This window comes from Homo sapiens, chromosome 6 (genome assembly GCF_000001405.40).
Source record: "Homo sapiens chromosome 6, GRCh38.p14 Primary Assembly".
Classification (NCBI taxonomy): domain Eukaryota; kingdom Metazoa; phylum Chordata; class Mammalia; order Primates; family Hominidae; genus Homo; species Homo sapiens.
In genome coordinates, this window is record NC_000006.12 from 166,499,564 (window position 1) to 166,512,525 (window position 12,962).

General features: G+C 49.5%; 1 protein-coding gene and 1 non-coding gene across 10 annotated transcripts in view, besides 3 other annotated features; both read right to left on the reverse strand.

Annotated features, from left to right (window-relative positions):
• The window catches only part of RPS6KA2 (ribosomal protein S6 kinase A2), a 453,410-nt gene that overhangs the window by 90,200 nt on the left and 350,248 nt on the right, over nucleotides 1–12,962 (reverse strand). For 8 of the 9 annotated variants that reach the window (XM_047419235.1, NM_001006932.3, NM_001318936.2 and 5 more), the window contains 4 exons: nucleotides 10,714–10,794; nucleotides 8,640–8,719; nucleotides 4,943–5,049; nucleotides 1,324–1,361 (listed from right to left, as the gene is read on the reverse strand). In XM_047419235.1, coding sequence (XP_047275191.1) covers nucleotides 1,324–1,361; nucleotides 4,943–5,049; nucleotides 8,640–8,719; nucleotides 10,714–10,794 — 306 coding nt within the window. The remainder of the gene's footprint in view (nucleotides 1–1,323; nucleotides 1,362–4,942; nucleotides 5,050–8,639; nucleotides 8,720–10,713; nucleotides 10,795–12,962) is intronic. The other variant, NM_001318937.2, reaches the window with a different exon arrangement.
• Nucleotides 4,223–5,422: an enhancer, noted in NCBI's record as "BRD4-independent group 4 enhancer chr6:166917274-166918473 (GRCh37/hg19 assembly coordinates)". NCBI's record gives its function as "activates an origin of replication core promoter dependent on BRD2, P300/CBP, MED14 and CDK7 cofactors, and independent of BRD4, by STARR-seq in HCT116 cells {active_cell/tissue: HCT116}" and the evidence as "EXISTENCE:reporter gene assay evidence [ECO:0000049][PMID:35650434]".
• Nucleotides 6,573–7,513: an enhancer, noted in NCBI's record as "H3K4me1 hESC enhancer chr6:166919624-166920564 (GRCh37/hg19 assembly coordinates)". NCBI's record gives its function as "activates a minimal SCP1, AML or CMV promoter by ChIP-STARR-seq in primed H9 embryonic stem cells {active_cell/tissue: H9 hESC(primed)}" and the evidence as "EXISTENCE:reporter gene assay evidence [ECO:0000049][PMID:30033119]".
• Nucleotides 7,514–8,453: an enhancer, noted in NCBI's record as "H3K4me1 hESC enhancer chr6:166920565-166921504 (GRCh37/hg19 assembly coordinates)". NCBI's record gives its function as "activates a minimal SCP1, AML or CMV promoter by ChIP-STARR-seq in naive and primed H9 embryonic stem cells {active_cell/tissue: H9 hESC(naive and primed)}" and the evidence as "EXISTENCE:reporter gene assay evidence [ECO:0000049][PMID:30033119]".
• On the reverse strand, nucleotides 9,791–9,870 carry MIR1913 (microRNA 1913). The gene has a single exon (NR_031734.1). It is a non-coding gene; the product is annotated as a microRNA 1913 (primary transcript).

The following is a 12,962-nucleotide window of genomic DNA, read 5'->3' on the forward strand; positions in this document are numbered from 1 at the left end:
GATGGTTTTATACAGGGCAGTTCTCCTGCACATGCTCTCTCTTTGCCTGCTGCCATGTAAGACGTGCTTTTTCTCCTCCTTCTCCTTCTGCCATGATTGTGAGGCCTCCCCAGCCAGGTGGAACAGGGTGAGTCCATTAAACCTCTTTCCTTTATGAATTACCCAGCCTTGGGTATGTCTTTATTAGCAGTGTGAGAATAGGCTAACATGGGGACTTTGAGAACAGACTAATACAGGGACTTTCAGAACAGACTAATACAGGGACTTTGAGAACAGACTAATACAGGGACTTTGAGAACAGACTAATACAGGGACTTTCAGAACAGACTAATACAGGGACTTTCAGAACAGACTAACACAGGGACTTTGCAGATGCCATTGAGGATCTGGAGATAGGGGATGACCCTGGATTTCTGGGTGTGCCCAACACCATTGCAAGGGTCTTCAGGTTAGGAAGGGAGGCAAGATGCAGTCAGAGAGCTTGGAAGATGCTGCCTGCTGGCTTCCACCATGGGGGACGCAGCCCAGCCAAGGACTGCGGGCAGCTTCTACTAGCTGGAAGAAGCTAAGCAAGGGAGTCTCCTCTAGAGGCCCCCAAAAGGCAGGCAGCCCTGCTGACACCTTGATTTCATTCCTGGGAGACTTATTTCACACTTGGGGCCTCCTGACCTGTCAGGTGATAAGTTTGTGTGGTTTAAAGCCCCGATGTTCCTGGCATTTTGTTGCAGATGCTATAGGGAACTAATACAAATGGGGTGTCCTGAGACTAGAGGAGCTGTTGCCAGTTTGACTGAATTTGCTGGTGGCTGCCAGGGCTCAGATGGAAACAGGGAGGGAAGTCACGTGGCCACCACCACGGTCCAGGGAGTGAGAAGGAGGCAGGGACAGCATCAGTGAGGGCAGCAGTGCAGGCCGCACTCCAGCGAGACTCCAGATGTCTGCCCTCAGGTTGGCACTGGGCATCTGCAAGGCCCACATTGCAGGCTACACTCCAGCAAGACTCCAGATGTCTGCACTAAGGTCAGCACTGGGCACTGGGACTCCTGAACTAAACACCCAGCGACGCTGAAGGAGCCCAGCAAACAGAACGTGGCAGGGGAGAGGGAAAAGAAGGGGCCACCGGGAAGCTGCATGGGTCTGGACGTTATGAAGACATACAATGCCATAAGCAGTCTGTAGCTATAGAAAATTCTGCCAAATCAGAGACAAGCATCTGGCAAAGGGAAGGGCGGTGTAAATAAGAGGGCTTGGGCTTTGAGGTGGTCCCCAAAGGTACCAGGGCTGAGATGAAGCCATGGAGGGGGCCTGCCGTCTTTTACAAACCTGTGATCTTAATGTGCCCCTCTTCATCCAGGAGGATGCTAAAAGAAAGGGAGAGAAAACAGATGCTTTAGAAAGAGACCCAGCCTGCCGACGGGCACGCAGAGCTCAGAGGAGAGCTGCGGGGCAGCTGGGGGCGGACGTTTTCAGGGAGCCCTGATGGAGCTGGCCCAGGAGATCCCCACGGCTTGTGCGGTGGGCCTTCCCATCCTGCCTCGCTTCTCCACAGCTCCCAGCTCGAGAAAGCATTTGGTGCCACACCTCCTGGATAAAGGGATGTGTGTTCGTGCAGCTGGAGGACTGCTGGCTTTAGATATTCGTGGGTCCCCAGGGAAGGTCTAAGAGCCCTCCAGACTGCTGTGCGCAAAGCATAGGTGGAGAGCGTCCTGGGACTGCTGTGGCCTGTGGAGACCCAGAGCCTCGCAGATGGAATGTTTCTGCACTCGGGATGCCCTTGATGTCCAAAGACCCCCTTCTTCTCCCATGTATCCTCCCCTGAGCCCTGCCCTGGCTCTCCAGACCCACCCAGGTGAGGCCTGCACAAGCGGGGGCCAAGGCATCGAGGAGCTTCGGGCTTCAGCAGGTACATCTTGTGATGAGACCTGCTCCCGGCTTGGCACCCCTGCGGGCCACTGGGTCCCTGTCTTGTTCCCTGCCAAGCCCTTGTCACGCCATGTGCCGGACGTGACAGTTGCCTTTGCTCCTCCCAGGTATCCTGCCGTGGGGTGAACCCTGCATAGAGAATGGAGGCAGGGTCCGTAAAGGGCTGGGTGCAGGCATAAATCCCTTCTTCCCTGAACATCAGGCGGGAGTCTGGGCTGTGATACCTTGACACACCTGTGGCCCTAAACTTTCCCCATTTATTTATTTGGCTGTAATTAAATCCTGTTCTTCCAGATGCTGGGAGGTACCAGCCTAGCCCTAAAGAGACCAGGAAGTGGGCTGGAAAGAAACAAAGGCAAGGCTTGGAGGATTAATCTGTGATACCTTTATAGAAACCTGTGAAAGGAAGGAAAGCCTGACTTGCTACAGCACAGAGGAGCCCGGAGGACATTATGCTCGATTAAATAAGCCCGTCCCCAAACGACAGGTATTATATGATTTTACAAATATAAAATGTATGGTCCCTAGAGGGGCCAGAGTCACAGAGATGGAAAGTGGATGGCGGGTGCCGGGGGCTGGGGAGCTACTGTGCAGGGGGACAGAGCTTTAGTTCTGCAAGATGAAACAGTTCTGGAGATGGACGGTGGGGATGGGGGCCCAGCAATGGGAACGTGCTTAATGCCACTGAACTGGGCACTTAAACGTGGTGAAAACTGTAAAAGTCATGTGTATTTTTCTACAATTAAAAAAAATCTGCCACAGAGTTAAAAAAATAACCACTATTTTCTGGAAATGGGAAGGAAAAGTTACAGCATGTAATTAAGATGACAATTTATAATGAACAAGGCAAATCTTTTCATCTTTGCCTTTTGGGCATATTCAATCTTTGCCCAGAATTAAGCACCTTTCAAGATTAATTCTCTAATAATTCTAGTTGAACAACACAACCTTTTCCTTCAAGCTTGCAATTAAATAAGGCTATTTTTAGCTGTAAGGATCACGCTGACCTTCAGGAGCAATGAGAACCGGCACTCCCGGCCTGAGTGGATGCACGGGGAGTGTGTCTAACACACAGGCGTCAACAGCCAGGGCCGCACGAGGAGGAGGAGTGGCAACGTCCACACAGACTCACAACACGGCACTCCGACTTGGAGGGTAATTAATACCAGGTTAACTTCTGGGATGACCTTGGCAACGACCCAAGGTGACAGGCCAGGCTCTGCAATCACCTCCCAATTAAGGAGAGGCGAAAGGGGACTCCCAGGGCTCAGAGCACCACGGGGTTCTAGGTCAGACCCACTTTGAAATGGAAATCTGGCCTTGTGCTGCTGCTCTTGTGGGGAGACAGCAGCTGCGGAGGCTGCTCTCTTCATGGGATTACTCTGGATAAAGTCTTTTTTGATTCTACGTTGAGCATCCCTTATCTGAAATGCCTGAAACCGGAAGTGTTTAGGATTTGGGGATTTTGCAATATTTACTTATATATAATGAGATATCTTGGAGATGGGCCACAAGTCTGAAATGAAACAAAATTCATTTATGTTTCATATATACCTTCTACACATCACCTGGAGCTAATTTATAGAATATTTTAAATAATTTTGTGTATGAAACCACGTTTGTGTTAAGTGCTTATGTGTGGAATTTTCCACTGGGGGGTGTCCCATTGGGGCTCAAAAAGTTTTGGATTTTGGAGCATTTCAGATTCGGATGAGGGATGCTCCAGCTGTATTTACACACGTATTCAACTCACATGTGTGCCTGTGGCGTTCCACGGACTGGTGGTGAAGTCAGATCATCAAGCACATGGGCAAATGCATTTTGCATCCTGCAGTGGATATGGGATGTGACCTGGTTTCTGGGTAAACCCAGCTGTTTCCCATAGATGACAGCTGCATCTAACAACACCAGCTTCGGAGCAGGGCTTGTCTTTTCTCAGTTCCATGCAGGTGACAGGGCAGGAATGTGGAGTAGCAACTGGGACGCGTTTGCAGACCCCAGGGCCCCCCCTTGGTCTTAGCTCACAGGCACGGGGCTCTCTGGTGGTACCCAAGGCCGGTCGGTCCCACCAGGCCACAGGTGATGCCTCATCTAGGGGCGGCTATGGGCCCTGGTCTGGGTGGGTGGCATTAATCGGCCCCTCAGGGCAGGGAAGAGTGAGTGATCACCTCAGGGATACTGCTGAGGTCAACTCAACCTAAAATACCATCCTCCAAATCTCTTCTTTTCTAAGTGGATCACTCCTAGTTATGTGTCAGGTCTACAAAGAATATGTAAAAACAACAACAACAAAATGAAAATGGGAACACTATTATTTTGGAGGGACTTTACTGTTCAAAAATCTAGAATAGATTAGCAAAATATCGTAGAAATAATAGCCTCACAGGTCACCACTGCCAAGGATATACAAATCTCAGTGGACTCTGGGTCTGAGAATTCTGGGGCCGTTGTCTTTTAGGTAAGTTCTTGGGAGAGCTGTTCTGACTGGGGACCTAGAGGTGGGGCTGACAAGTAACTGAGTAGAGGTTCATTGACCACATTCCTGGGACTTGCTGAAGTAGATGAAAGGGCTTCCTGAATCTGGAGGACAGTAGGGAAGAGATGAGAGAGGAGGAGAAACTGCCCTGGAGGCAGCCATGTTTGAGATGGTCCCCAGTGGCCAGATGAGCCTCACCCAGGAGAGAGGGCGGGAATGTGGGTCAGGGTCGTGGGCGTGCCCCTCCCCAGCTCCGGCTTCCCGTGCATCACAGACATGCACCTGAGCCTGGCCTCCCTCAGGCGTTATGAGTGTCAGGTGAGAATGGGCCTGGGCATTTCCTATGCAAATCAGCAAGGCCACACCTGCATCTGGGCACCTGATGCCTGAGCCGGTCCTGCCGGCACAAGAGTCTCCCCAGCCTGCTCTCTGATATGTCCTCATTTAGGAAATAAATATCTAGCAGTGGCTACCAACATGGGCCAGGAAAATACATGGAGCTGATGGGCGTGGGGAAGTCAGCCCTAGTTTTTTCTCACTTACTTCTCAGGCTTCAGATCTCTGTAGATGATCCCCAGGCTGTGGAGATGGTCTAAAGCCAAGGCCAGCTCAGCCAGGTAGAACTTGACATCCTCCTCCGTGAACATGACCTAGTAAGAAAAAAACAAAAACAAAAACAAAAAACGTTTAACTTGTTTTATGGCTGGTGTGTTTTAAAGAACTCTGCCAGAGAGACTGAGAGTCCACACTGGGGTCAGTTTGCTCTGTGGAACGCTATGGCCCCCCAGAGTGGTCTTCTGACTCTTCTCATGGAAAAGTGAGTTCCCTCTGCAGTTCCAAGATCAGTGGATGGAGACGAGGGCTTCCTGCACAGGTGACTCATGCCGCCTTGAGAGTGGGGTGCTGAGATTCAGCCTCTCCTCTCTGTGTCCTTCTCACCCCTGCAAATCATTTGGCTCTGGAGTAGGTTTCTGGGTTTACATTCTAGCATGAGTGCTGCTCATGTGAATTCATAACAAATGTAATACAAGTAAGACGCTGAGGGCTTGATGAGGTGACTGAAAATGGGGCTCAAATATCATTCTTTCCCCATGGATTATCTATCTCCACTCCTTGGGTTGATGCAAACTAGTAGCCTACGTAACCTGCTGTCAACCCAAAGTGGGATTAGTTCTACCAAAGATCACCCACAGGTGGTACAGAGTTGGCTATGGGTGCCCCAAGCTGAGGGGGCGGGATGGGGAGGGGTTTCCAGGTGTTGGGGTTGGCAGCCACATTCCGGGATCCCACGTAGCTGGGACAGCTCAGGGCTGGGAGGTGACCAGGCAGGGATGGCCTAAGTGTCCATGTCCCGGGGGCTCACTCAGGCCAGCCGAAACATGCATGAGGCCTCGGAGCCCAACAGACTCCAAAGCCATCGCCCCATAATGACTCATCCCCACCCCCGACTTGTTAGAATCAGCACATAGATTTTGTAGACCCCCTTAAGAGGAAGCAAAATCATGACCACAAGCCATTTTCTATATTCGTCAGGAGAAATCAATGTTATGGAGACTACAAGTCCACATGATTACTGAATTCTCTCCGGTAAGCAGACGTGAAAAATCAGCACGCAGCCAGAAGGCTGCCCGGCAAACACAAAATTAGAAGGGCAGCCAGGGGACCTGAACGGTGAGTGGCGTCAGGCCGACAGCCGGGCACCCGCTTCACACAGGGGGTTCTTCCACAGGGCTGGACACGCAGGCTCTGCATCCTGACAGTGACTGGTGGGTGCCAGCCACCCACCGGCCCCCCGAGTCCCCGTCCTCCATTCCACGCTTGGCCAGCGCCTTTCCCGGATGTATGTTTCTTTTCTAGATCGGTTAAGGTGCTCAGTGGACTGACTGACAGCACGTTCTGCTAGTGGCCTGGTTCTTTCCTCTGACTTGACATATCCACACGTGGCCCACCATGGGTTTTGTGTACAATTTAGGGCTCAGAGGCAAACCTGTCTTTCCACTCCCCTAGCTCTTAGTGTAACCCCCAAGGACAATAGCAGGAAGTTTCTCCATAGAAAGGGAACACCTCACGGTGTGAGTTCTGCAGGTTCACCGGCACAGCGATGGTCCCCGTAAGATGCTGGACCCCGTACTTGCTAAATGACGACCCAAGGTGAGTTCTGCAGGTTCGCCGGCACAGCGACGGTCCCCATAAGATGCTGGACCCCATACTTGCTGAATGAGGACCCAAGGAAAAGACTTTCCGCAGGTTCCCAGCAACTCCACGAATCTGTGGTGCCCGCCCTGGACAACTTCCCTCCTACTCCGAAATGAAGGCCCTCGGGGGAGGCACACATTCCCACGTGGGGAGCTGCAGGACTTTTTGCTGATTACTGTTGTCTTTTTGGTCAGGGGGCCCAACCACAGGCGTGTCATAGCAGCTGCTGGACAAAACTGGACCCCAAATGGACTGACTCCCTGTGGATGAGAGGGGAGTGGACAAACCAACAGATGATACCACATGAGGAATGGGCAGACACCAGGCTCCAGCATCTTTGGAAATGGCCACACAGCAGGAGGCAAAGGAAGGGGCCAGACGCCAGTTCCCAAAGGCCTTTGTGTAGAGCTTGGATCAGGTTCTCCCGGCCCACTGTTTTTCCTCCATGCAAGGAGCCCCACAGAAACGTGCACCACTGTCCAAGGGACTGCTGGACGCAGAGGGACAGGGCAGCCATGGTCTCTGGGACCCTTTGCGCCCGATTCAGGAGCAGCTCTGCCTTGGTTTACTGTTCATTTGGGGCTTTGTGCAAGACAGCGGGGTCTCCTGCTGAAAAGGGGGAAGGTGGGGAAAAGGGAGTGGGGGGTGTGAAGGCCACTGTTGCTGTGAAAGCACCTCGGCCACTCCTTTGTATAAGAGATGAACAAGCAGGATCGTCAGAACGGAAAGCCCGGCACTGGCACTGCCATGGGCAGAATCTGCCTTTTGCCATCCCATGAAGCGGGGTGCTTTTCACGTCAATCAGGGCCACGGGGCTCTCAGGGTGCAGTGAAGTTGCATCCTGGAGGGTTCCTACCTAAGGCACTGGAGGTCAAGGAGAAGCCCTGGGGTGTGCAGTAGCGGCTGTGAGACAAAGGTGGCGTGCGAAGACCACACCCGATGCTCCCGAACAGCCCCAATGTTCAGCCGGCTTAGCAGTACCTCCCTCTTCCCTCCCTCTTCCCAGGATGGAAAGTGAGACCCTGTGAGAGTCTTTCCCAGCCGCTCCTACCCACCGACCTGCGCCTTCCATCTGCGCTAGCTGGGAGGTCAACAGCGTGACTTATGGTCCCAGAGCTGCAGGGGCGCTGCCAGGGCCACCTGGGACGATTGCTAGGGCCACTTGTGCAGCTTCCTTAGAACCAGGCAGCAATGCACACAGCACACCCAACACACACACACACACACACACCCACCCCACATCACACATAGCACACACCACACATACCACATACAGCACACACACACAACTCATACATACACACACCCTACATAGGCACACAGGATGTCAAACACACAGACACCCCACACCACACAAAGCACATACCACACATACCACATATAGCACACACACACCCACACACAAACACACCCCACACATACACACACCCTGCATATGCACACATGCACAAAGCACACCACACACCCCACACATAGCACACACCACGCACACCAACCCCACACATGCACACAGCATGCCAAACACACCCCCACATATACACATAGCACACACACCATCACACACAGCACACATCACATACACCACAAATCACACGCCTGACATATACACACAGCACACATCACACACATACCACACACTTATCACATGACACATGCACACCCCACATGCACACACACTCACATTCCCACACACCATGCACACACAACCCCAAACACCACGCACACCCCCCCACACACGCACTCAAACACATACACACCCCACACATCACGCACATGCACTCACACAGCCCCCATGCAAACCCCACACATGCACATGCAGTCTCGCAACCCCCCACCACACATCATGCACACTTGCACACACTCACACATGTACACCTCTCCCACACACGCACTCTTGCACACACTCACACATGCACACACCCCCACACACACACACGCACTCTCGCACGTGCTCACGTCCTCTCAATGCTCTCCACCCCTCCTCCCCTCGAGTCCCAGACAGAAGCTCCTGCCCGCCCTCCTGTGTGATGTGGCGGCTGCTCACCTCTTTGGAGAGCCGGGTGAAGAGGTCCCCTCCCCGCAGGAAGTCCAGGATCAGGTAGAGCTTTCCTTCCGTCTGAAAGGCTGTGGGGGACAGAGACCCGCATTTTGACAGCTTGTCGAATGTCCTGTGGCAACATCGCTCTCTGGCTTCTCCCTGCTCACGGTGCTGCTTACTCCGGGAGGCTGAGTCACTTGAGAAACGGCAGGACCCCGGCTGGTGACCAGCTCAGAGGGGCAGCACCCGGCAGAGGGGGTCTGACACTGTGAGCGCTGCCCCTCTCTCACTGTCGTTAGGGGGCCTTGAGATTTCTTTCATCTTTCTTTCCTCTCCCCTCCCTCCCTTTTTTAATCACAAAGGAATTGAAAGATACACGGGGAGAAAGATGTGAATATTTAAGCTGGTATCGTTGCTGGCTTTTGTCGTAATGCATTAGTGAGCAGCCTGAAGATGGCTCTGGTGGGTTTGGAGGACATGTCCTTTCCGTCCTATGGAAGTGCCTTCTTCTTACAGAACTCCACTCTGGTACCAGGGAGCCCCCCGCTTGCCTTCCTCTCTTGAGGCAGTTCTGGTGATAGGTCAGCCCAGTTATTTGAACATCAACAATGGGGCTCACGTCCTAGGTCTGGTCACTGTGAGCTATAACTGCAGACTTTCTGTTTCAGGCCACAGGCAGGCTACACAGCTCCTGCCCACACTCAGCAAGGGCCTGCCTCTGTTGAGCGGGCGCATGAGCACGGGAGGGTCTAGAGAAGCCCGTCACCATCGCTGCTGTGACGATGGTTGCTGCAGTGGCACTGGTGAGGCACCGCGTGGCATCTTTTTTATCTACAAAGGAAGTGTGGCTGGAAGGGATCCCAATATCCCTGCATACTAGAAAACGTTTTATTTTCTAAAAGTAAATGCTAGAAGCATCATAAATGTGGGGGTTTTAGAAACATAGCCCCCAGCTAGAAAGCCCTCTGCCAGGACTGTGTAAACTGAGTGTGCATTAAATGCTCCATCCTGGGCTTGGCAGGCAGGTGGAGGTGCTGGGTCACCACTGAGGTGATGTGGAGGTCTGTTTAAAGCTCTTTGTAGGACACCCAGTTCTCAATTTCTTCAGAAAAGCACCCTAGCAAGTAATGTAAATGACACGTGGGATGGGACTTGACACCAGCCACTTGGCAGCAGCGGAGGGGGCAGAGTTTTGGAAAGCCAGCCTCTGCAGCCTCCTCTGCCGGGAGGTAGAGGTTTGCAACTGCGCTGCCCACGGCCGAGAAGGAACAGCAGGGTGTGCCCAGCTTCTGCAGGCCTCCTTCATCCTGTCCTCAGATTCACGCAAATCTCACTAACACCTCCCCGACACACCACCTTGCCCTTTGCAACCAAGAACAAACTATTAGTTTTGTTGCTGTTCCCTTCTGTACTTTGCTCATCTGGATTATTAGGTGGGAAAGTTTAATGTAATAAGCCATGAATCTGCAGCCACCATCTCATCACATCTTTTTTAAATTTGAAGATTTCACTTACTGCTTCTCTGTTGGGATAAAAAGGCAGACAGCAAATGAAGAGAAGTTGTGTGGCAAAGCAGCTATGTGGCCTTTGGTTAATTATTTGAGCCTCAGAACATGAAAATAATAAGCTACCTTGAATAGAAGTTTTGAGGGTTCAACGAACTACTATCTTTAAACATGATATTCATTTGAAATGAGGTGTTACCATTTCTGGTTTAAAGAAATTATTGGGTCATAGAGTATTTTATTCTAAAACAACACAAAAATAAGTCATAGATTCACCCCAATCTAGGTTAAGATCTTCTAAATTATCAATGGTATGGTAATAATTTAATAATGGATACCCCATCTAAAATTAGATCTTTGAGATGAAAACAGGGCTTCTTGCTCTTTCAAAGAAAATAAATACAGAAGAGATTAAGTGATCAGGATAGAAGGCACCTTCCTCCCCAGGCAGGGCAGGACTCTATGGTATAGGAAAGATTTTCTTCTTTCTGATCTGTTATTTCTTTTTCAATTTTCTTTGATCTGGAGAAGGTTGCCCTGGGTCCTCTTTAAAGTGTCATTTTGACTCTACTTACCATAATGAAGCTTCACAATGAAGGGGTGATTCACTTCTGCCAAGATGTCTCTCTCCATCTTCGATCTCACTCGGTCCCGAACTGCAAAGTAAAAAGATAAAGGCTTTCATGAGGCAGGAAATAAGAGTTCTGAGGAACACTGAACATGAAATACTAGATATAATTCCCGCCAACTTTTCATTAAAAAATTTCAAACATATACAAAACTTGAAAAAGTTGTACAATAATCCTAGATTTAACAACTGCTTACGTTTTAATACATTTGCTTTCTCTCTCTCATATATATATATATATATATATATATATATATATATATATATATATATATATATATGCATCTCTAGCTCTCCAAAAAATTGTAGGCAGCACGACATGTTACTCTGAGGTGCATGTGCAGGTGTCTCCTAAGAATAAAGACAGTCTCTTAGCATAACTTTAACACCTACTGTGCCACATAGGAAAGCCAACAATCACTCCATGAAACATCTAACATCCAATCTATATTCAGTCCTCCCCTCCACGTCGTTTTCCCGACCTAGGATCCAGTTCAATTATATTGGTTGTTAAATGTCTTTGTTTTGCTCCTAGAAGACAATGGTCCCATACCTATTTCCCTCGCCCTGTATTTTTTCGTGGACTTTTTGGGAAGTCCAGGTCAGTTTTCGTCTGTAGAATGTTCCACATTCTGGGTTCGTCTGATGGTTGCTCATTTGCTTTCTAAAACTCTTGTATTTCTTGTAAACTGGAGGCGTGATAAGATTGGGGCTAAATGATTTTGGTCACCAGGTGATGCCTGTACTTTAGCCTGCCTCAGATCAGGGGGTGCCTGCTGGGCTCACCCTCTCTGTGTGATGCTAAACGTGATGTGTGGTTGAGGTGGCAGGTCACCATCTCTCCATGGAAAAGGTCTTCATGTCCCTTTGTAACAAGAACCTGTGGGCTGATATCTGGCATAGAGTGACCTGCGGGTTCCCTAACAATCCTTCATCCAATGGTGTGAGCATACATACGTGATCCCTGCCTGAATCATTCAGGGCTAAAGAACAGCCATGGTCACATTTCTGATGGAACTGGAAATCAAGAGGAAGATTCCTTCTCTCCCTCTCCATGAAGATAACCATGGACCATGTACTTTCTGTTGAATTTAGTGTGTTACAACAGCTACATATTCTTCTTAGTGCTCACACTATCTCAAGTGTGGCCATCTGGGAATACAGATGTAATTAGTTTTGATGCAGAAACAAATGAACAAACAAAGAGCACCACTTGAGTAAAAACAGCTTTAGCATTCCCCTGGGCAAGCTGCTACACCCAGGGCAGTATCCGGGACCTCACACAGCCCCATGAGCGATGGGAGAAAATTTCTTCAAACATTGCTATTGGGACAAATATGATCAGTATTGTATCATGGGCCAGGTATTTAAATTTATCCATATTTAGGACTTGTGATACATACTGCTAAAGTTTTATTTAAGAAATTCTTCACCAAGAATGCTGCAATAATAAAAAGAAAATAGAAAATTACAAACTGGGAGGATGTGGAGAACTTGGAACCATCATGCATTGCTGATGACAGTGTAAAATGGTGCAGTCACTGAGGAAAATAGCTTGGTAGTTCCTTACAAAGAAGTAGAATTACCATGCAGCCCAGCAACTCTGCTCACAGGATACACATCCAAAAAAACTGAAAGTATGGATTTGAACGGGTTCATCCACCCATGTTCATGGCAGCATTATTTACAACAGAAAAGGAGGAAGCAACCCAAGTGTCCATCAACAGATGGATGAACAAAATGTGATGCTGTAGTAAATACACACACACATACACAAACACACACACACACACAATGGGATATTATTCAGCTCTAAAAAAGAGTAAAATTCTAACACACAGTATGAATGAAACCTCAGGACATTATGCTAAGTGAAATAAGCCAGACACAAGAGGACAACTATTGTAGGATCCCACTTATAAGAGTTGCCCAGAGTAGCCAGAATCAGAGAGACAGAAAGCAGGATCGTGGTGAACAGGAGCTGGAAGGGGGAGAATGGGAAGTCATTGTTTCCACCTGGGATGATACAAAGATTTTGGGTATAACATTGGTGAGGACAACATTGTGAATGTATTGATGTCACTGAACTGTTCACTTACAAATGGTTAAAATGATCAATATTATGTTATATATGTCTTACCACAGTTAAAAAGAGAAAGTCCTTCCTCATTCCTGGGTCCCTGAGTTTCACTGTCT